This window comes from Homo sapiens, chromosome 1 (assembly GCF_000001405.40).
Source record: "Homo sapiens chromosome 1, GRCh38.p14 Primary Assembly".
NCBI lineage: Eukaryota > Metazoa > Chordata > Mammalia > Primates > Hominidae > Homo > Homo sapiens.
Window position 1 is genome coordinate 228,680,541 of NC_000001.11, and position 21,902 is coordinate 228,702,442.

Here is a 21,902-nt window from a genome sequence, read left to right on the forward strand (position 1 = left end):
GTCTGGCCACCTCCTCTCTATTATTGTACACCTTGAAGGCGAGGTTGATTAATTCCTGTTGTGGGGTTTGAAGGCCGGATTCCAATTTTTGAAGCTTTTTTCTAATGTCAGGAGCTGACTGGGTGATAAAATGCATATTAAGAATAAGGTGACCTTCTGGTCCCTCTGGGTCTAGGGCGGTAAAGCATCTAAGGATTTCTGCTAACTAAGCAGGCCATGAACTGGGCTGGGTTTTCATCTTTACCTTGGGTAGTTTCTTTAAGTTTGTCATAATTAACAGCTTTGTGAGCTGCCTTTTTAAGCCCTTCAACTAGGCAAGAAACCATGTAATTTCGCCTAGCTATACCTGGGGAATCTGCCTGATAGTTCCATAGGGGATCTTCTCAGGGAACTGCTCTAATGCCTTCCTGGAGGTCTGGCTCATGAAGCCGGTGATTATCAGCGTGAGATTGGGCTAGAGAGAAGACTCTTTCCCATTCATCTGGGGAGAGGGTAGAAGTTAGGCTGACATTTAAGTCTCTCCAGGTTAAACTGTAGGACAGAGTTAGATATTGGAATTCCTGTATATATTTATTGGTGTCTGATGAGAAAGAGCCTAAACGCTGGCTGATTTGGGAAACGTTTGGTAGAGAAAAAGGCACATGTACTCTGACTATGCCTTCAGCTCCAGCCACCTCTCTAAGAGGAAATTGTTGGGCAGGAGGGGGAGAGCTAGTCGCAGAATGAAACTGTAAACCAGACCGGGTGTGGGAAGGGGAGTTAATAGAAGGGTTATAGGGTGAGGGAGCAGAGGCTGAAGAAGAGTTGGAGCCTGATTCAGCCTGGCGGGGAGCGAGCTGAGGAGGAGCAGTCTGGGGAGGAGGTGAGGGGTCAGATGGGTCAGCAGAAAAGGAAGATTCACAAGACTCAGTGACGACTGGGGTTGAGACTGAAGGGACAGGCGGGAGGGAAAGAAGGAGGATTTGGGATGAGTCGCATTGGGAACAGAGACTAAGGAGGGAACAAAGTGTGAAAAATGCCTGGACGTAAGGCACCTCAGACCATTTGCCCTTTTTTCGACAAAAAGTATCTAGGTCTCGTGGGATGGAGAAATCGAAAGTGTCATTTTCTGGCCATTTAGAACCATTGTCGAGTTTGTATTGGGGCCAAGCGGTGTTGGAGAAGAAAATAAGATGCTTAGATTTTAGGTCAGGCAAGAGGTGAAGAGGTTTTAAGCTCTTGAGAACACAGGCTAAGGGAGAAGAAGGAGAAATGGAGGGTGGAAGGTTGCCCATAGTAAAGGAGGCAAGTTTAAAGAGAAGGGTAGAGACACGGAGAAGCGGGGTGGGGAGCAGTCCTGGGCTGCAATGTGGGTGAGCAGCCAAAGCAGGTGTCCCCACAATTGACTTGCCACCAAGGGAATGTGGGTGAATGACCAAGGCAGGCATCCCCGTGGTGATCAGACACCAATGGGGTGTGGGTGAATAATCAAGCAGGCACACCCTGCAATGATTAAACACCAAGGGTAGGCTGTCTTCCTAAGTTGGTGACTGGCGCCAGAGTTTTGGGTCCATGGATAAAATGTGTCTCGTTTGTCTCTATTAGAGAGGAAAAATAACTGGACTTGGAAGGACAGGGAGATTGAAGGGTAGGGAGAGAGGCTGGAGAAGAGAGTGAAAAGACTGTTTACCCGATTTGAAATTGGTGAGATATTCCTTGGGCTGGTTGGTCTGAGGACCTGACGTCATAGGTGGATCTCTTCACGGAGTGAGGGTGAGGACAGGGGACTGGTCTCCCGAAGGAGTCCCTCTGACCCGGGTCTTCAGCACCAAATGTCTCATGCTTCTGTGTGAAGAGACCACCAAACAGGCTTTGTGTGAGCAACAAGGCTGTTTATTTCACCTGGGTGTAGGTGGGCTGAGTCCAAAAAGAGAGTCAGCAAAGGGTGGTGGGATTATCATTAGTTCTTGCAGGTTTTGGGATAGGCGGTGGAGTTAGGAGCAATGTTTTCCAGGCAGGGGGTGGATCTCACAAAGTACATCTCAAGGGTGGGGAGAATTACAAAGAATCTTCTCAAGGGTGGGGGAGATTGCAAAGAAACTTCTTAAGGGTGGTGGAGATTACAAAGTACGTTGATCAGTTAGGGTGGGGCAGAAACAAATCATAATGTTGAGTAAAGAGGAAAAGGCAGATCAATAGAAACACAAATAAAAACCTCACAACATAGAAACAGAAAACCGGACCCACCACCATCCATCGTCATTGCCACTTATATAAATATCAGTAAATTTACTTGTAATTCTAAAGGGAGTATGGGAAGGGAGTTGGATGTCACTCAAATCTGACACTGAAATCTCAGATAAGACACAGAGAGGTTGAGTCAGAGCAATGGAGATGTGGGGGTGAGTGGAGTGAAGTAGCCCCATGGTGCTTTGACTTTTCTCAAAGGCAAAAGGCAGCCCCATGAGCCCCATACTGTATATCTTCTGGTTAAGCTCATTAGGAGAGGATGTTAACTGTTTCTCAACCACTAATTTCAGTAAGTGAATCAATCCTTGTTGAGTTGAATGCCCAGAAGAAATTGCCACCCTTGGGATCTGGGCTGGAGTCAACTACACCTGACAGATCTTGTACCAGTTAAGATTTTAACTCGGTTCTGAGTCACTGAAAACCCCATAGGCAGCCACTGACCTAATCATGGTTTGAAGGAGGCATTATCTGATAGCCACAGAGGCAACCGGTCCACCTGTCTTCCACCCTATTGTCTTCTGGTCACAGGACAGGCATTTCACCCCTAGCATCCTGTTTGCATTCTGGAAAGGGAGAAGGAGAAATATGAAGTTTATTTGGTGGTACTATTGTGGGAATAGCCAAATACATCGATGGAGCTTACTTAGGAGATAGGATCAGGTAGATATTGAGATTTTACATATGATATATGTGGGATAAATTATCCAATCAGTGATGTTGGAACAACAAATTTTCCATTTGGGAAATATACTAAAATGATAGAGGAAAATGTTTTTGAGTTCTTGATTTAATGAATGTCTACTTAAAGAAAAAACCCCCACAAAATCCATAAAGGAAAAAATAGACAAATTTGCTGACAGCATAATTTAAAAAATTTCTATAACAAGGACACTCTTTAACAAATTGTAATTGATGATGGCAAAATCCAAATTTTTCCAAAATATTTTTAAAGAGGTTTATTCTGAGCCAATATGAGTGATGGCAGCCAGAGTTGCACGGTTTCAGGAGGTCCTAAGAAACTGTGCGGTGGGGGTGGGCAAGATGGATTTCCCCACGTTGACATTTTGAAAAGATCCCCGTGTCTGGCTGCCTGTGCAGCATGGGAGGGAGAGGGGTCAGGGTAGGTGTGCCTCCATGAGAACCAGATCCTTAGAAGACAATTGGAATGATGGGTCAGAAACTATGGACATGGAGAAAACTGAGGATCTGTGGACTTGGAGATCATAGAATCCCAGCGTATGCCTGTGGTTGAAGACTGGTTTTTGTTTGTTTCTTTCTTTCTTTTTGAGACGGAGTCTTGCTCTGTCGCCCAGGCTGGAGTGCAGTGGCATGATCTCGGCTCACTGCAACCTCCAGCTCCCAGGTTCAAGCAATTCTCCTGCCTCAGCCTCCTGATAGCTGGGATTACAGGTGTGTGCCACCATGATGGTCTAATTTTTGTATTTTTAGTAGCGATAGGGTTTCACCCTGATGGCCAGGCTGGTCTTGAACTGCTGACCTCAGGTGATCCTCCCGCCTCAGCCTCCCACTGTGCTGAGATTACCCATGTGAGCCACTGCGCCTGGCCAGTTTGTTTTTTGAGACTAGGTCTCATGTGTCATCCAGGCTGGAGTGCAGTGGCAAGATCTGGCACATTGCAACCTCCACCTCCTGGGCTAAAGTGATCCTTCCACCGCAGCCCCCTGAGTAGCTGGGACTACAGGCGTGCACCACCATGCCCGGCTAATTTTTGTATTTTTTGTAGAAATGGTGTTTTGCCATGTTGGCCAGGCTAGTTTTGAACTCCTGGGCTCAAGTGATCCACGTGTCTCGGCCTAAGTATTGGGATTACAGGCGTGATCTACTGTGCCCTGCTGACATAACTGTTAATATTAGTCCTTTTCACTCTCAGAATCGTTCCTGTTTGGGTGCTAGATTTTGCAGCCACCCCCATAAGGCAGGAAAAAACATGCAGGCTCTGGTAATAGAGTAGTTGTGAGGGTGAGGGAGAAGGAACCACAAGGATGACTTCCAGTTTCTGGCTTGCAGACCAAAAGGGAACGTGGTGCTGTTCCAGGAAACGGTCCCGATAATAGCTCAGACCCTAAGAGAGTGTTCTTGATCTTGTGTAAGAAAGAATTCAGGACGAGTTTGTAAAGTGAAAGCAAGTTTACTAGGAAAGTGGAGGAATAAAAGAACGGCTACTCCATAGACAGAGCAGACCAGCTACTCCGAGAGCTGCTGGTTGCCTATTTCTATGGTTATTTTTTGATGATATTCTAAACAACGGGTGCATTATTTATGTCTCCCATTTTTAGGCTATATAGGGTAACTTCCTGACATTGCCATGACATTTGTAAACTGCCATGGTGCTGGTAGGAGCGTAGCAGTGAGGATGACCAGAGGTCACTCTCATTGCCATCTTGGTATTGGTGGGTTTTGGCTGGCTTCTTTACTGCAGTCTGTTCTGTCAGCAAGGTCTTTATGACCTGTATCTTGTGCTGACTTCTTATCTCATCCTGTGACTTAGAATGCCTTAAGTGTCTGGGAATGCAGCCCAGTAGGCCTCAGCCTTATTTTACCCAGCCTCTATTAAGATGGAGTTGCTCTGGTTCCAATGCCTCTGACAGTAGGAATTTGGGAATGAGTTTTAACAAATACTTGGAAACTGAAACTCAGAGTGAGAGACTAGAAAGAGAGCAAATGCTGTAAAGAGAAATGACCACAAAGGGAAATTAGGAGAAACAAAACTGGAACCAAATGGAGCACCATTCTCTGGATGGTTGATTCTGTGAAAAATTAAAATGGAAATCTATTGAGCATTTGGAGCCAGAGAATGATAGGATACTGCTCTGAGAATTTACTGGGGAATTTGAGAGTTTTAGAAGATAACTAAAGTATTCAGAGACTCATGAAATGACTGTATGTGAATATATATCTTCCTGTTAAAATTATATATAGGTTAAATGTATTTCTGTTAATCAAAATTAATCTTCTCATTGACTTACATTCTAATTGAAAAACCTCTTTGTTCTCCTTTAGTGAAACCCTTAATCAGTAGCATTTGACACTCAGAACTTTTTTGTCTACCGACTCCTTTCTCTTCAAGAGTTAATCTAGTGCAACCCTTAATTATCCCCAGAGCTATTATTAAAAGAATCTGTAAATGGAAGCATTTTTAAAGCCAAGAATCTTAGTAATTTTATTCTGATCAGAGTTTATAAGATCAGAGTTTTACACTTTGACATCTTATTATATGAAGATGAAATAAAACCATTAAGAGGAAACACAATGTAAGTTAGTGATCAGACTTTTGTATTAGTCCATTGACCCCAAAATCTGACTTGCTTATAGGGTTGTGTTATATTTGAGTTTTAGTTATAATTTTGCTACTTATTAGATTTAGAGGAATTAGTTAAATCTCCCTTATCTTCAACTTCTTCATGAATAAAATAAAAATAACTAACTCATGAGGTTTCTATGATATTTAAATGAAACAATAGCTATATAGTGATTAGTACTTTGTAGTTACTCAATGTGTTTTATTAACTAATATTATTATAATAAAGAGTTTCTGTTTGAGGAGATGAAATATTTTGGAAATAGTGGTGATAGTTGTACAACATTATGAATATAATTAATGCCATTGAATTGTATGCTTAAAATTTCTAAAATGGCAATAAAACAATAAAAATATATAAAATACAATAATTACATATTTGCAGTTTAAAACCTATTATGTTTGACAATATATTTCTGAATTTCAGTTTCAGAAATCTAGAGGAATACTCTCCTACACCATGAGACAACTGATATTTAGTGCAAGCCATGGTGAGCACTTGCCCTCTTTTAGTATTGGGTCGGTGCAAAACTCATTGCGGTTTTTGCTATGAAAAGCAATGGCTTTTTAAAGGTCTGGTCTGGCAACAGAGTCAGCTCTTAAAATGTTAAATTCCTAACTTTTAAAGCCTTGATAATCCCAACCAAAAAGCAAGGGAGAATTTTTTTTTGAGAGGGAGTCTTCCTCTGTCTCTCAGGCTGGAGTGCAGTGGCGTGATCTTGGCTCACTGCAACCTCCGCTTCCAGGGTTCAAGTGATTCTCCTGCCTCAGCCTCCCAATAGCTGGGATTACAGGTGTGTACCACCACATCTAGCTGATTTTTGTATTTTTAGTAGAGAGGGGATTTCACCATGTTGGCCAGGCTGGTCTCGAACTCCTGACCTTAGGTGATTCACCCTTCTCAGCCTCCCAAAGTGCTAGGATTACATGCGTGAGCCACCGTGCCTGGCCGGCAAGGGAGAATTTAAGGAATTATAAAAAATTATAGTGAGCTGACTAGTAGGGGATAGAGTACACAAAACTCATTTTCCACTATTTGAGTGAACAATTGTTTACTCCTCTGAAAGCACCTGTGGGCTTCACTGGCCCGCTCCACTGACCGGCACTGCCTCCACCCAGACTTGCGGGAGTGCTCACCCACCTCAGCGTGACTGTCCCTCCCCTCTGTACTCTTCTCTCTATTCCCCAGTTCCCAAGAGTTATCCCTTTCTTTTTTTTTTGGTTACCAAATTTCTTTATTTGAAGGAATGGTACAAATCAACGAACTTAAGTGGATGTTTTGGTACAACTTATAGAAAAGGTAAAGGAAACCCCAACATGCATGCACTGCCTTGAAGAACTTTGCCAAATACTTTCTTCACCAATCTCATGAGGAGAGGGAACATGCTGAGAAACTGATGAAGCTGCAGAACCAACGAGGTGGCCGAATCTTCCTTCAGGATATCAAGAAACCAGACTGTGATGACTGGGAGAGCGGGCTGAATGCGATGGAGTGTGCATTACATTTGGAAAAAAGTGTGAATCAGTCACTACTGGAACTGCACAAACTGGCCACTGACAAAAATGACCCCCATTTGTGTGACTTCATTGAGACACATTACCTGAATAAGCAGGTGAAAGCCATCAAAGAATTGGGTGAGCACGTGACCAACTTGTGCAAGATGGGAGCGCCCGAATCTGGCTCGGCGGAATACCTCTTAGACAAGCACACCCTGGGGGACAGTGATAATGAAAGCTAAGCCTCAGGCTAATTTCCACATAGCCGTGGGAGTGACTTCCCTGGTCACCAAGAGTTATCCCTTTCTAACATATTGTTCTCCCCCTCTCCCTCCTCTGCTCCATCTCCCTCCCTCTGTCCCTTCCTTCCTTCTGTCCTTCCTCCCTCCCTCCCTCCCTCCCTTCCTTCCTTTCTTCCTTCCTTTCATTTGAGTATTGTTTCCACCCCACCCTCACCCCACAAAATGTGAGCTGTACAAGAGCAAGGATTTTGTTTGTTTGTTTGTTTGTTGTTCACGGATGGGTCCCAGGTGTCTAGGACAGTGCCTGGTTAACAGTACATGCTCCATGAAGATGAGCTATTGTGACTTGGGGTTTTCTGGAACTGTAGCTGGAACCAACCCTAACCTGTTACAGCTCTCCACTCATGCCTCCCACTGCCTTTTGAAGAAGGCCATGTTGTTAATGTTGTTAAGCTGCTGTCTAAAGGACATGAACATGAATTTTTTCTCTGTAGCTGACACAGGTTTCCCCCGAATCCTTCCACTGCCTCTTTCATGTGTGAAGAACAGCAGACATTTGTGAGTTGGCAGCCTATGGACTGAGAAATGTGGACTGCAGCCATAGAATGGAGCAGATTTCCAGGGCATTTGGGTTGCAAATCTCCCATTTTGACCTCCTTAGCATCGTGCTCTATTATTTAACCCCTCCTTCCATTCCTCCCATGTCTGCCTGCTGTCACTTAAACAAGGGAGTCCACCCAGTGTGGGGAATCGTGCCTTTCCTGCAAACCTTCCTGCTGATTTGTGTTCTAGCCCAGGCTCATGAATTAGTTCTGCTGAGCCTGGCCATGGCCAGTTGTAAAGTGCTGTGTGTGCTGATACCAAAAGTTATGTACAAAACACCAAGAAGTCCCAGGATTGGTACTGCCTTTCAGTATTTGTCCAAAATGGTGCTTTTCTCTGCTTCCCTGGTCAAGCAGAATGAACAGGTCACCAGCGCAGGTAGAATTCTCTCAGTGTCACTGTGGTCCTTGCAGGTCAGCTGGATTTGTCAGTTTAGCTGAGTGTGTCCAAAGACCTCAGCCTCCCTTCTGATTTTCAAACAGAGAAACAAATATAAAGCTACATATGGGTGTGTGAGATGAGACTGGCAGCAGTAAAGGTGGCACTTTGAAGAGGCTCTAGGGAGACAGAATGGACAGTAATTTTAAAGTGACTTTGGGAAGAGGCACCACTGACCTCTCCTCCTTCTCCGCCTGAACAGTCCCTTCAGAAGCTGCTTTTCCCTCACTTCCGTCTCCCTCATCCCTGAATAACCCACACATTTGGAGCTTCTCTTCCCACTATCTTCTAGCTTTTGTAGGTTTTTTCCATCTTATTCCAACATGAGAGGCAAAGGACCCTGAGTTTGTCAGACCCAACCCTCGAAGAAGCCGAAGAGTCAAACAAAAGAGGTCATATGTAATCTGTAGTAGAAGCCAGACAATGTGAAAGGGTAAATCCAAAGGCCATTGGAACTTCTGGATCCAGATAGGGCCCAGCAAATGTGTAATAAAGTCAGCAGTGAGAAACGCGATTGGGACATGATACTTCCATGACATCAGTAGCTGTAATCAAGCTGAATCTGCCTGTTGATCCCTATGGAAACTGTCTGCTGACTGTAGTGCTGCTCTATTTTGTTGTCATTTCAGGGCTACAAATGAATATGCAATCACTTGACTACTTTGTTTTAAGCCAGGGGTCCCCAACTCCTGGGCTGCAGACAGGTGCTGGTCTGTGGTCTGTTAGCAACCAGGCTGCATAGCCGGAGGTGAGCAGTGGGTGAGCATTACCACCTGAGCTCCGCCTCCTGTCAGATCAGCAGTGATATTAGTCTCACAGGAGCTCAAACCCTATTGTGAACTGTGCATGTGAGGGATCTAGGGTGCTGGCTCTTAATGATAATCTAACTAATGCCTGATGATCTGAGATGGAACAGTTTCATACCGAAACCATCCCTACCACCCCTAGTTCGTGGAAAAATTGTCTTCCACGAAACTGGTCCCTGGCAACAAAAATGTTGGGAACCACTGTTATAAGCCATCTGTGAACCATGAAATGTTTGGGTCAGTCTCCTGAGACTGAAAATTTAATCAAAATTTCAGCAAGAACTTTCTCTTCCCACACTTTCCAGTGTGCCTGAAACCGGAATTTAAAAAAAATGTAATTGGAGCACGCAGAATCAATTCTTAACGCTGTTTCAATGTGTCCTTTCCCCCAAACAATACACTTAAGACATTTACTAAGTGTTAAAGAGCTACCTCTCTGTACTACTTGCTGTAATTTTCTTTGATCAGACTGATTTTTATTTAAAAGATTTGTTTTGTTTGTTTGTTTGTTTTTGTTTTTTAGAGCAGGAGTGAAAGTTTATTAAAAAGCTTTAGAGAAGTAAGGAAAGGAAGAAAAGGAAGGAAGGTACACTTGAAAGAGGGCCAAGTGGGCAACTTGAGAGACCAAATGCTGAAGATTAGTTTGTTTGTTTTTTTTTTTTCTCTTTGAGATGGAGTTTTGCTCTTGTTTCCCAGGCTGGAGTGCAATGGCATGATCTCGGCTCACCGCAACCTCCGCCTCCCAGGTTCAAGCAATTCTCCTGCCTCAGCCTCCTGAGTAGCTGGGATTACAGGCATGCACCACCACGCCTGGCTAATTTTGTATTTTTAGTAGAGACGGGGTTTCTCCATATTGAGGCTGGTCTCGAACTCCTGACCTCAGCTGATCCGCCCGCCTTGGCCTCCCAAAGTGCTGGGATTACAGGCGTGAGCCACCAGGCCCGGCTGTTTGGTTTTTTTTGAGATGGAGTTTTGCTCTTTTGCCCAGGCTGGAGTGCAGTGGCGTGATCTCGGCTCACTGAAACCTTTGCCTTCTGATTTCAAGCGATTCTTCTGCCTCAGTCTCCCGAGCAGCTGAGATTACAGGCGCCCACCACATAGCCTGGCTAATTTTTTTACTTTTAGTAGAGACGCGGTTTCACCATGTTGGGCAGGCTGGTCTCGAACTCTTGACCTCATGATCTGACCTCCTCGGCCTCCCAAAGTGCTGAGATTACAGGCGTGAGCCTCCGTGCATGGTGGAAGATTAGTTTTAAAAGAGTGTATCACATAGTGCTTAAGTACTGTGTTTTGTGCTTTTATGTTGTCATTAATAGTGCCTTCAAATTAGGGAGGAAACGACTTAACTCAGTTACTTGTAAAAGTTTGGTTGTGAAAGAAGCTAAATTAACTGCGAGGATTCAGCTTATAATTTTTTTTTTTTTAAATAGACTTTATTTTTCAAAACCTCTTTAGGTTCCCAGAAAATTGAACAGAAAATGCAGAGAGTTCCCATATCCTCTTTCCAGGCCTCCCTCACTATCAGCATTTCCTACAGAGTAGTACGTTTGTTACAATCAATAAATCTATATTGACACATCATTATCACCAGTCTGTAGTTTACATTAAGGTTCACTCTTAGTGTTGTACATTTTATGGGTTTTGACAAATGTGTAAGGACATGTTTCCACCACTACGGTATCACACAGAGGAGTTTCACTGGCCTAAAAGTCATCTGTGCTCCACTCACTCATCCCTCCCTCCCTCCCTCCCTCCCTCCAACTCCTGGCAACCACTGATCTTTTTATTGTTTCCATAGTTTTGTCTTTTTCAGAATAGCATATACTTGGAATCTTATAGTGTGTGGCCTTTTCAGATTGGCTTCTTTCATGCATTTAAGGTTCTTCATGTCTTGTAGAGGCTCAATAGCTTATTTCCTTTTAGTGATGAATGATATTCAGGATGTACCACAGTTTACTTATCCATTCACCTACTGAAGGACATCTTAGTAATTTCCAAGTTTTGGCAATTATGAATAAAGCTTCTATGAATATCTATGTACAGATTTTGTGTGGACATAAGTTTTGCAGGCTATAATTTTTCATCCTTAATCCTCAGTATCTAAGAACAGTGGGTAAAATTTGACCCAAACAGTACAGCTATAAATCTAGTTTCTGCTATCCCCTCTCACCAAGGCAACCGTTTCAAACGTTAACAAAGTCAATATGAAGGTTAAAAGAATCATGGCAGAAGTATTTAATCATATTATCCAAAGTTTATTGTACTTGGGAATGATTAGACTTAGAGTATCCATTAAGTACAGACTAAATGCAATCATGAACTTCCTCTTTGACTGCATGAGACCTTCAAAAATGCAGTGGTTGCTTTTAACCATAAATACTTTAGGCTGTAATTATGTACGAAGTAATGAGTAAATAGCTTGCATAAGCACTTTTACAAAGGGTAGAACAATTGGACCACAAGGTGGTGCCCAAGATATTTTAAATTCAGATCCTGGTGTCAGGTGAGCACTGAAAACCCAAGACTGGAAGATGAGTAGAATTAGAGCCAACAGATACTTGGAGCAGAAAATCCAATGTGTGTTTTAATGAAATGTATACATTCTTCTAAAATATCATCTTTCAATGATCATTATTACAGATTAAACATTTTAAAACTGCCCAAAGACTTTATGAAATCTTTTATTTTCTAGTTTTCTTCATATTATTCTTATTTGCCACCATGCCCTGGCCCAACTGTATTGCCATTAAAAGATCACAGAAGACCCTCTGCCTTGACACTTGCCACATACCTGTCCCTGCTCTGTGCTGAGTGAAGAACTTACTTGGCCACAGAGATTAGAGATAGATGGACTTCCCTTTCTTGTGTTTCAGATGCTACTTTTCTGTTTTTTGTTTGTTTTTCTTTTCTGGCGATTCTAAAATTTTTTTAAAAATATTTTAAAATTAAGACAGGATCTTGCTATGTTACCCAGCCTGGTCTTGAACTGGGCTCAAGCCATCCTCCCACCTTGGCCTCCCAAAGTGTTGGGATTACAGACATGAGCCACCAGGTCTAGTCCTGAAATCATTTTTTACAACGTTTATGGATGTGCCCTATGGATACTAGATTTAAGAAAATCTAGTATCATTAAAAATCAAAACTTCAAATAAAGCAATTAGGAAATGGGGATTTACATAACAAAACAGTTGTTGATAAAGTTGTTACTAAAGACCTCCTTTAAACTATCAAGCTCCCCAATATATTATTATATAAAATTGCATTTATGAAAATTAGATTTATATATTGCTTTGCAGGGACACCCACCATACACACTGAGCAGATGCCCAAAACCGTACTGTGAGTCTTGGTTTTCATTAAGAAGGGTACAACAAGGGCCTTTTCAAAGGGAAAGTTTAACAAGATAAACAAGTATTCTCTTCGGTAATAATCCTATGGGTTATTAACCTATAACTTAAAAAGAGAAAGAAAACAATAAATAAAGGTTTTTCAATAAGAATAAATGTTGTGAAAATAGGTACAAGGCAAGGTGTTTTTTATTTGCAATTTGTGTTGCTGACACCTGATTCCAGCCACTTGAGGTGACATAGCAGAGTTACAGCGTGAACTGACTGCTGCCTACGTGCCCTCACAATAGGTTTCCAGGCTGATAAAGCACTTCAAAGTTTTATCTTTGATCCTCAGATAGGATGCAAACTATTTGAAGTGTGGTAAAGGAAGATATTAACACACATTCAAGGAAAAAGACATTGACACCCAGCTGAAATATAGAAGTCCCATCATTACCTCAGGTTAATAATTTTTTTTTTTGACACAGAGTCTCCCGCTATTGCCTAGGCTGGAGCACAGTGGCGTGATCTCAGCTCACTGCAACCTCTGCCTCCCGGGTTCAAGCGATTCTTCTGCCTCAGTCTCCCGAGTAGCTGGGACTACAGGCACGCGCCACCACGGCCGGCTAATTTTTTGTATTTTCAGTAGAGACGGGCTTTCACCGTATTGGCCAGGCTGGTCTCCAACTCCTGACCTCATGATCGGCCCTCCTTGGCCTCCCAAAGTGCTGGGATTACAGGCATGAGCCACCGCTCCCGGCACCTCATGTTAATAATTTTAAGCTAACTGACAACTGTGAAGCTAAAAGAAGATGATTTTTAAAGTTAACATTAACTATTAACCAAGGTAGTATTCTTTTTTACCCAATAACAGGTGATGAATGAAATTAAAGCATTAGAATAATATTTTAGAGCTAGAAAGAACAAACTTTTCTATCAAAGATTTGACTTTTATAGAGATTGTCCATGTTCTACAAATTGGCTTAAATAAGATCTTAATTCTAGACAGTGCCAGAACCAGATCTCAAAATTTGCAGTTCAGTGTTTTTTTTCCATCACTCCATACCCATTTGAGTTGTCCAGGACAGACATTTCTTTCCATAAAGTATTTAATCAGCTATTGTTACAGCTCAGAGCAATATTATTTCTTTGTAGCTAGGTGACTTGCACACATTGTTTTTCAGCAATTGGAGTGGATACGGTTACATTTAATAACAAAACTAAGATTTCCAGACATAATATGCAGATACAGAGATCATTTTATTTCTAATCTGTGTTATGGTTAGAATAGTGGCCTGTTTTTAGTCTTGCTTATTTTTTTCTTCAACTTTTATTTTAATTCTGGGGTCCATGTGCAGGATATGCAGGTTTGTTACATAGGTAAACGTGTGCCATGGTGGTTTGCTGCACAGGTCATCCCATCACTTAGGTATTTTGCCCGGAATCCATTAGCTATTCTTCCTGATGCTCTCCCTCCCCTCCCCTCAATAGGCCCCAGCTTGTGTTGTTCCCCCACAGGAGTCCATGTGTTCTCATTCGGCTCCCACTTATAAGTAAGAACATGCAGTGTTTGGTTTTCTGTTCCTGCATTACTTTGCTGAGTATAATGGCTTCCAACTCCATTCACATCCCTGCAAAGGACATGATCTCATTCCTTTTTATGGCTGCATAGTATTCTATGGTACATATGTACCACATTTTCTTTATCCAATCTATCATTGATGGGCAGTTAGGTTGAGTCCATGTCTTTGCTATTGTGAACAGTGCTGCAGTGAATATACGCATGCATTTATCTTTTGATTTATATTCTTTTGGGTACATACCTCGTAATGGGATTGCTGGATCAAATGGTATTTCTGCCTCTAGGTGTCTTACTTATTAAGTACAACATTATGATAATTATTTTACACCTCCAAGATCATGTATAGAAACAATAGGAGGAATATAAATGATAATGAATAGGTTTTATTTATTTATTTATTTTGAGACAAGGTATCACTTTATCATCCAGGCTGTAGTGCAGTGGCGGGATCTCTGCTCTCTGCAACCTCCGCCTCCCAGGCTCAAATGATCCTCCCACATCAGCCTCCCATGTAGCTGAAACCACAGGCATGCACTACCACACCCGATTAATTTTTGTATTTTTGGTAGAGATGGGGTTTTGGTATGTTGCCCAGGTTGGTCTCAAACTCCTGAGCTCAAGCGATCCACCCACCTCAGCTTCTCAAACTGCTGGGATTACAGATGTGAGTCACTGTGCCCAGCTAAGAGTAAGCGTTTTTGCCTAGTAAAAACACAAACTGTTTTTTTCTCTGATCTCATCCCACAATAATCAACACAGAAGACTTCTGGGACCAATCTCTCACATACCAGCAAACAATCAATTCTGTAGTGGACACCATCTGGGTATCCTCCAATTCAATTCTGGTAGTACCTGGAGATAGCATCAAATCCCTCAACCTCAGATTGAGGGCTCAGTCACACAAGACTGCCCCCCACTTTCAATGTCAACCACAAGCCCCAGGTTGCTTCACCTGTGTTTCTATGACTTGGGGTTCCACCACTTCCTCCTTGAGTTTGGTTAATTTGCTAGCGTGGCTCACAGAACTCAGTTTACAGGTTCATTATAAAGAATATTACAAAGGATACAAATGAAAGGGTGTGAAGGGGGTGCAGGTATGACGGAAGGGGCAGAGCTTTCATGCATTTCCAGGGTGAGTCACCCTCCATGTATTTGTTTGGCTATCCTGGAACTCTCTGAACCCAGTCCTTTGGGTTTTTATGGAGGATTCATTATGTGGGCGTGATTGATTAAACCCTTGGCCAATGATGACCAACTCAACCTTCAGCCCCTCTTCCCTCCCTGGAGATTGGGGGATGGCGCTGAGAGTACCAGCCCTCTAATCCTGCCTTGATCTTTCAGGTGACCAGTCCTGAAGCTGCCTAGGGGCTGCCAGCCATCAGTCAACTCATTAGCATAAAAAGACACATCACTTTGGAGAATCTAAGGATTTTACGAATTATATGCCAAGAGATGGTATATAAACCAAATATATGTTAATATTTAACAGTATCACAATTTGAAATTTAGGAAAATAGAGAGTAAAGAAAGCCTGTTTTGAACAAACTAATAGTAGTTTTGTTAGAATTTGGATAAATGTTTTCCCTGCTTTTCTCTTTCCCCTCTATTTTTTCTGCATTATTTTATGTATATGAAAGGTATACAATTAAAAAAAAAAAACAAAACGAAGTCCCTTAGAAACATTTACTCTGAGGCTGCTTTACATCCAAGGAGAAGTAGAAGAAATTTACTCACACTCAGTAGAGATTTCCAAATATTAAATCTTGAGGGTTTTTTTTTTCCATTTCTTATTCATTAGCAGAACAGCTGAATCATGATGGTTGAGATAACTGATAAAATTTCTATTGCTTTTTTTGTCTCCTTGGAAGGAAGGTGCTTTGTAAGGTATTATTTGTTTATGTTTAAGAACTTATTTATTTCTCCTCTTAGTAGTTTATTGTCTAACCAAGTGCTTTTAGATATCTTTCTTTTTGTTTTTTGAGACAGAGTCTTGCTCTGTCACCCAGGCTGGAGTGCAGTGGTGCTATCACAGCTCAGTGCAGCCTTGACCTCTCAGGGCTCAAGCGTTCCTCCCATCTCAGCCTCCCTAGTAGCTGGGACTACAGACATGCACCACCATGCCTGGCTAATTTTTGTGTATTTTGTAGAGGTGGGGTTTCACTGTGTGCTCAGGCTGGTCTCGAACTCCGAGGCTCAAGCGATCCACCCGCCTCGACCTGCCAAAGTGCTGGGATTACAGGAATGAGCCACCATGCCTGGTCATGGGTATATCTTTGATCATTCCCACAGTATGCCAAAAGCAATGACTGACATTATTGATGAGATTAATAAGTAAAGAAAGTTGGCATATAAGAAATAATAAACCTTAAGACATGAGAGAGTAAAAGTCCCCCTGAAGTTTGAATTCCGAGGTCTACATATTCCTGGTGTCAGTGCTCCCACCAGATCTGACTAGATGGTTTGATGATCCTAGTTGGCTCAGGATCACATTGCCAGGCCACCAGTATTACTGAAAACACAGGACAGTTAGATGTAATAAAAACAAATGTTTTGACAGCCTTCTGCATGCTGAATATGCTATGTTCTTGTCTTTCAAGAGACATGGCAACTGCTTGAAACACAGAGATGTGTCAAAACTTTCATATTTACTTTAGGATTCAGAGCTCCCCCAGGAATGGCAAGTTGCATATCCTGTAATGAAATTTTATCTTGTGTAAGGCACAAACGCCCTGAATATTCATTCCTTTTGTTTTCTTTTCTGCAAAGAGACAAGCACAGAGACCCAGAGGAAAGCTTGGCCTGGAGCCAGCACAGGAGTCAGATGTGATGTGTGGTTTGGATTTTTAGAGAGCGTTTCCAGCATCTGCTTGCTTGGTTGACCAATAGTGTTGGGCAACAATCAGTAAGGCCGAGTTGCCAGGACTTCTCTAGGGCAGTGCAGAGGAAGGAATTTAAGGGACGGAGAGATTAAAATGCTGAAATAGGTTTATCGTGCTGACTGGCAGCCTCCTTGTCCCCAAATCCAGAGGGCATCCCCTTCTCTAAGATGCTGAGAAATGCACCGATGAGGGAAGACCCACAACCTTGAAGAGCTCTGTAGTCACTGTTCTCAGGCCTGGTATTGGTGGAAGATGTTGCCATTGAAATGTGCTCCCTGATTTTAGAGGACAATGAAATCCCAGGGACAGTAAAACCACCAAAGGCCAGGTGGGCAAATGATTTTCATGGGTAGTTAGAACTAAGCAGTAATCTGAGTGTTTTGTACCACAAGATTTTTGGGGTGACTAGTTTGTCACTGTATCCTTAGGAATGAAATAGGTGGGCAGCCTAGCTTGATCTACTTAATAGCAATCATTTAAGTTTTGTTCCAGTTATCTATCATTTCAAAACTTAGGAGGTTGAAACAATGATTAATTGTAATTTCAGACATTCTGTGGGTGGTTTGTTTTCTTTTTTATTTGGTAGAACATGCATAACATAAACTGACTATTGTAATATTTTGACGTCTACAGTTTTACAGATCATGCATTTCTTTGAGGTTTTTGTCATTCTAGTCAAAGGGAGACCATTTGACATTTTATGAATGGTTGTATGAAAACATTTAAAACTTTTGAGAGAATACAGTGTACCAGAGAGACTACTATTATGACTATTAGGAAGATAATACCAAGAGTTTGAAGTATGTTCCTTAGCCAAGATCCCCATAAACAAAACCAACTAAAATTAAATGATCAAAGAATGAGCTAAATACAAAGTCTACTTGTTTTAACCAAGCAGTCTGTTTGTTAATACCTTAGAACTATGTCTCTATAATACCTGATGTATTTATCTATGTGTAACCAGAAGTGTCAGTAACTGTGCAGATACTTTTCTGTTTAGCCAGCAAGTAATCTAGAGCAATTCTATTATTTACCACCATTTTAGTATGAGAATTTAAAGAAGTCTGTTGTGTAACCACAGTCTTTGCAGAAGAATCTATTATACAGCCTTGTAGAAATTTATGAGGGATACATTTTTAACTTTTGTCTCATTTACTCTAAACCATGGAAGAAAAGACCTAACAAATCATGCCCATCCAGAAGAGTGAAGGCCTCCTGGCAATGTTCTTATAGACAAAGGTTAAGAGGAGTGGACCAATGTTTTGTTTTTGTCTGATCATGAAGTAATGAAAGTACCATTAAATTTTTTCCCCCACATCGGCCCTTTGTCTTTCCTTTATTAAGGCATAAAGTTGTCCATGTATAAAGTTGACTGTAAAATCTTTCACAAATAAAAGTATACCACATGAGTGTATACAAGACCCCTTTTCTTGTTTTATTGTTTATAGAGGCATATGTAAGGAAAAAATTAAGAGATAAGAGTGTCTTGATAGTAGAAAAGTTTTGTTGTAGTGTGGGTGGCAAGAGTAGTCTTTCTCTGATTTTGTTTTCCAAAAGACCCAATCTCAGGGTTGTAAATCATGAAGAGTTTGGTTATCCTCAGTCGGTGGGCTATGAAAAGTTTTTTTTTTGTTTTTTTTAACCTGGTGAAAATATACTCTGGCATAATGTATTAAAGCCTTACCGGGCTGGGTAGGGTGGCTCACACCTGTAACCTCAGCACTTTGGGAAGCTGAGGCAGGAGGCTGAGGTGGGAGGATTGCTTGAGGCCAGGAGTTCAAGACCAATCTGGGCAACAAGAGTGAGACCCAATTTCTACAAAAAATAAAAAAAATTAGTCAGGGGTGGTGGTGTGTGCCTGTGGTCTCAGCTTCTTGGGAGGCTGAGGTGGGAGGATCACTCAAGCCCAGGAGGTTGAGACTGCAGTGAGACATGATTCCACCACTGCATTCCAGCCTGGGTGACCGAGAGAGAACCTGTCTCAAAAAAAAAAAAAAAAAAAAAAAAAAAAGCCTGTAGCATTTAGTCATATAGAGTTTAGGAGCAGAAGATACATGAGTTTCTGTTATTAGAAGCATAGGCCTTCAAGTGATTATTTCATAAGAGGCCAAGTTATATTTTCCATGAGAAGAGGATCTGATTGTCATTAATCTGTAAAACCTTTGATCAAGGCAATCCGGTCAATTAAGTTAGCTTTGGCTAATGCAATTGTATCTGTAGTGACTTATTTAACTGTTTTATAACGTGTCTAGTGAAACAAGTACCTTTATTGGTGGAGATTTTTCTAGGAATGTCCCATAAAGAAAAAATATGTCCTAATAACCTTTTAGTTACTATTATAGCATCAGTTTTCTTGCATGGGAAAGCTTTCATACTACCAGAAAACAGGCATTGAAAATGACAGTTGAATGAAATCTCTCTATAAATCTTTAGTTGGCCTATCAGATAGCAGAATATACCTAAAGTTTTTATTATCTTTCTAGAATTATAGGTTTAACAAACCAAACATTGATATTAAGACCGTTTTAGTAATCTACAACAGTCACTAAAATTATGTATATAATTTGGATAGTTTTATCTTTTTTTATAATGAGTCATGGATATAGAGCTTTATATAATGGAAGTTTTAAGGACTCAGGAAGAACCAGGTAGCCATCCAGGTTCTCCATGAGTCTACGCTTAACATTTGATTTATATCCTCTTAACTACGAATTTTGTTTCTCTAATTTAGGTGCAAAGCACTGTTTATTAGATAAGTTATCATAAGTAATTTGACTTGAACAATGGAGTTCATTTAAACTGCATATCTAAACAATTTTAGTACTGGCTGATGTAGCATGAAAATCTGGCAAAGTATTTTCTTGGTATTCAATTAATTTTTGTCTTGCTTGTGTTAGCAGTTTCATAAACCAGTCAACCCCTTTGTTAGAGTTCTGGGAATTTCTTACCCAGTCTAAATGATACGATTCTAGTCATGACAACTCTGTATTTAAGAATTTTTGTCAGAGTCCTTTTTATCTTTTTCATGAACTTCCTTGAAGGCACAGTACTTTAGGAGTTTATTTGCTTGTAAAGAGCTTTTAGAAACTCTATCAGAATTAAGCCATTAACTGTGAACATGATTAAGGTTGCAATTGACAAGAAAATTTAGTTATTTCTAAGGACATAATAACCATAATTATGACTGATAAAATATACCAAGACATGTCAGAATTTTAGGACTATTATACAATTTTCAAACATATATTAAAATAATATATTCATAAAAATATAACTCAAAGAAAGTTAACTGCAGATCATTTCTTATTTGACAATGCTTTTCATATAATCTAACATATTAGGCTTGGCATGGTGGCTTATGCCTGTAATCCTAGCACTTTGGGAGACCGAGGCCGGTGGATTGCTTGAGCCCAGGAGTTCAAGATCAGCCTGGGCAACAGAGCAGGACCCCATCTTTACAAAAAACACAAAAAAATTAGCTAGGTAGGGTGGTGTGCACCTGTAATCCCAGCTACCTGGGAGGCTGAGGTAGGAGGATTGCATGAGTCTGGGAAGTTGAGGCTGCAGTGAGCTGTGACTGTGCCACTGCACTCTAGCCTGGGCAACAGAGTGAGAGCCTGTTTCGAAAAAAATTAAAATATATTAAGTAGGCATGTTTATTTGTCTTTTGGATGCTGTATGGGCCCTCTGTAGCATCCCAAATTTAGTTTGAGGTTTAAAGAGAGTTAATTTTGAATTTTAAATTTGATTTTGGGAAGGCCGTCAAATATGTCAAAGGTTTAAAACATTTAATCAAAGTATGACCACAGGTCACTGTAAAATAATAGCCATTTGTTAGTGATAATTAAAAGGTTTTAAAAAGCAAAAACTTTTACTCTTTGATTAGAGGAGACCCAGTCTTCCCAAAGATTAAAATATCTAATAAAGACAGCATTAGACAGAATCTATCTCTCCTTTTCTCCTCTTGCTGTCTCATTTTTTTTGAGATGTCTCTAAAAGTGAACAAAAATTTTTTATTATCTCTTATTATTACTTTACAAAAATCTTGTTTAAAAGAGAAAACCAAAGTTTGCTTTTGTATTAATGAATTATCAATATTAAAGCTGATTTTAATAAAACCTTATAAACAAACTAATCTCAGTCAGCTTTTGACCATGCAGATTTCATAAATGTTTTATAATCTCTTACAAAATTTTAAAAATTCTTTTTCTTCCTGACTTTTAATATTATTTAGTTTTATTTATATCTTTTAAAATTCTTTTATCGTAAAATAATATTTAAGTAACTTCTAAACTGGACAAAGTAATTTTTTCTCAACAGCTATGTATTTGTATTCTTTTACAGCTTTTTTTTAATCAAAGCATGTCTTTTTTGTTAGTACACTTTGTATATAGAATTCTCTTATATATGTAGTTTTAATTACATATGTTAACTATAATTTTAACTCTTAGTCACCCTAATTTTCAGTAAAAGTCTAAAAAGTAATTCTGAACTGTTTTATATCAGTATTTATAGATGAAAACCATTTTATAATTTTTACAAAGATATGTTTGCTCAAATTTTTGTTCATTAACAGATCTACATATATTTAGCTTTTTTATATCACAGAAAAATAAGATGCCAAATTATATAAACTTAAATTTATGTTTAATAATTAATGTTTTAGTATTTTAACATACTTGTAAAAAAACTCAGACATTTTATGATTATCTGGTACTTAATTTAAAATAATATGACTTTAAGATTTAAATTACTGAAAAGAATATTAATACTATGATACAAGTACCCTTTCTAATGTTTTTCCCAGTCATCCTGGGTCTCAAGTAGCCACATGACACCTAGGATGGCTATAAGGGGAGGTCCCATCTGGGTCCTAAATTTACATACTAGGTATAGAATTCAGGACAGAAGACAGCTATGAAGATGATGACTGGAGCATTCAGCCCTTCACAGAATGGCCAGGAGGCAAAGCTGGGCC

The 21,902-nt window shown here is 40.5% G+C and overlaps 1 protein-coding gene and 1 pseudogene across 1 annotated transcript in view, besides 1 other annotated feature; both read left to right on the forward strand.

The window, feature by feature from the left end:
* RHOU (ras homolog family member U) overlaps positions 1-21,902 on the forward strand; it is a 102,023-nt gene that overhangs the window by 35,894 nt on the left and 44,227 nt on the right. The window lies entirely within an intron of this gene.
* Positions 1,377-1,877: an enhancer, noted in NCBI's record as "H3K27ac hESC enhancer chr1:228817664-228818164 (GRCh37/hg19 assembly coordinates)". NCBI's record gives its function as "activates a minimal SCP1, AML or CMV promoter by ChIP-STARR-seq in naive H9 embryonic stem cells {active_cell/tissue: H9 hESC(naive)}" and the evidence as "EXISTENCE:reporter gene assay evidence [ECO:0000049][PMID:30033119]".
* FTH1P2 (ferritin heavy chain 1 pseudogene 2) lies at positions 6,877-7,339 on the forward strand (annotated as a pseudogene).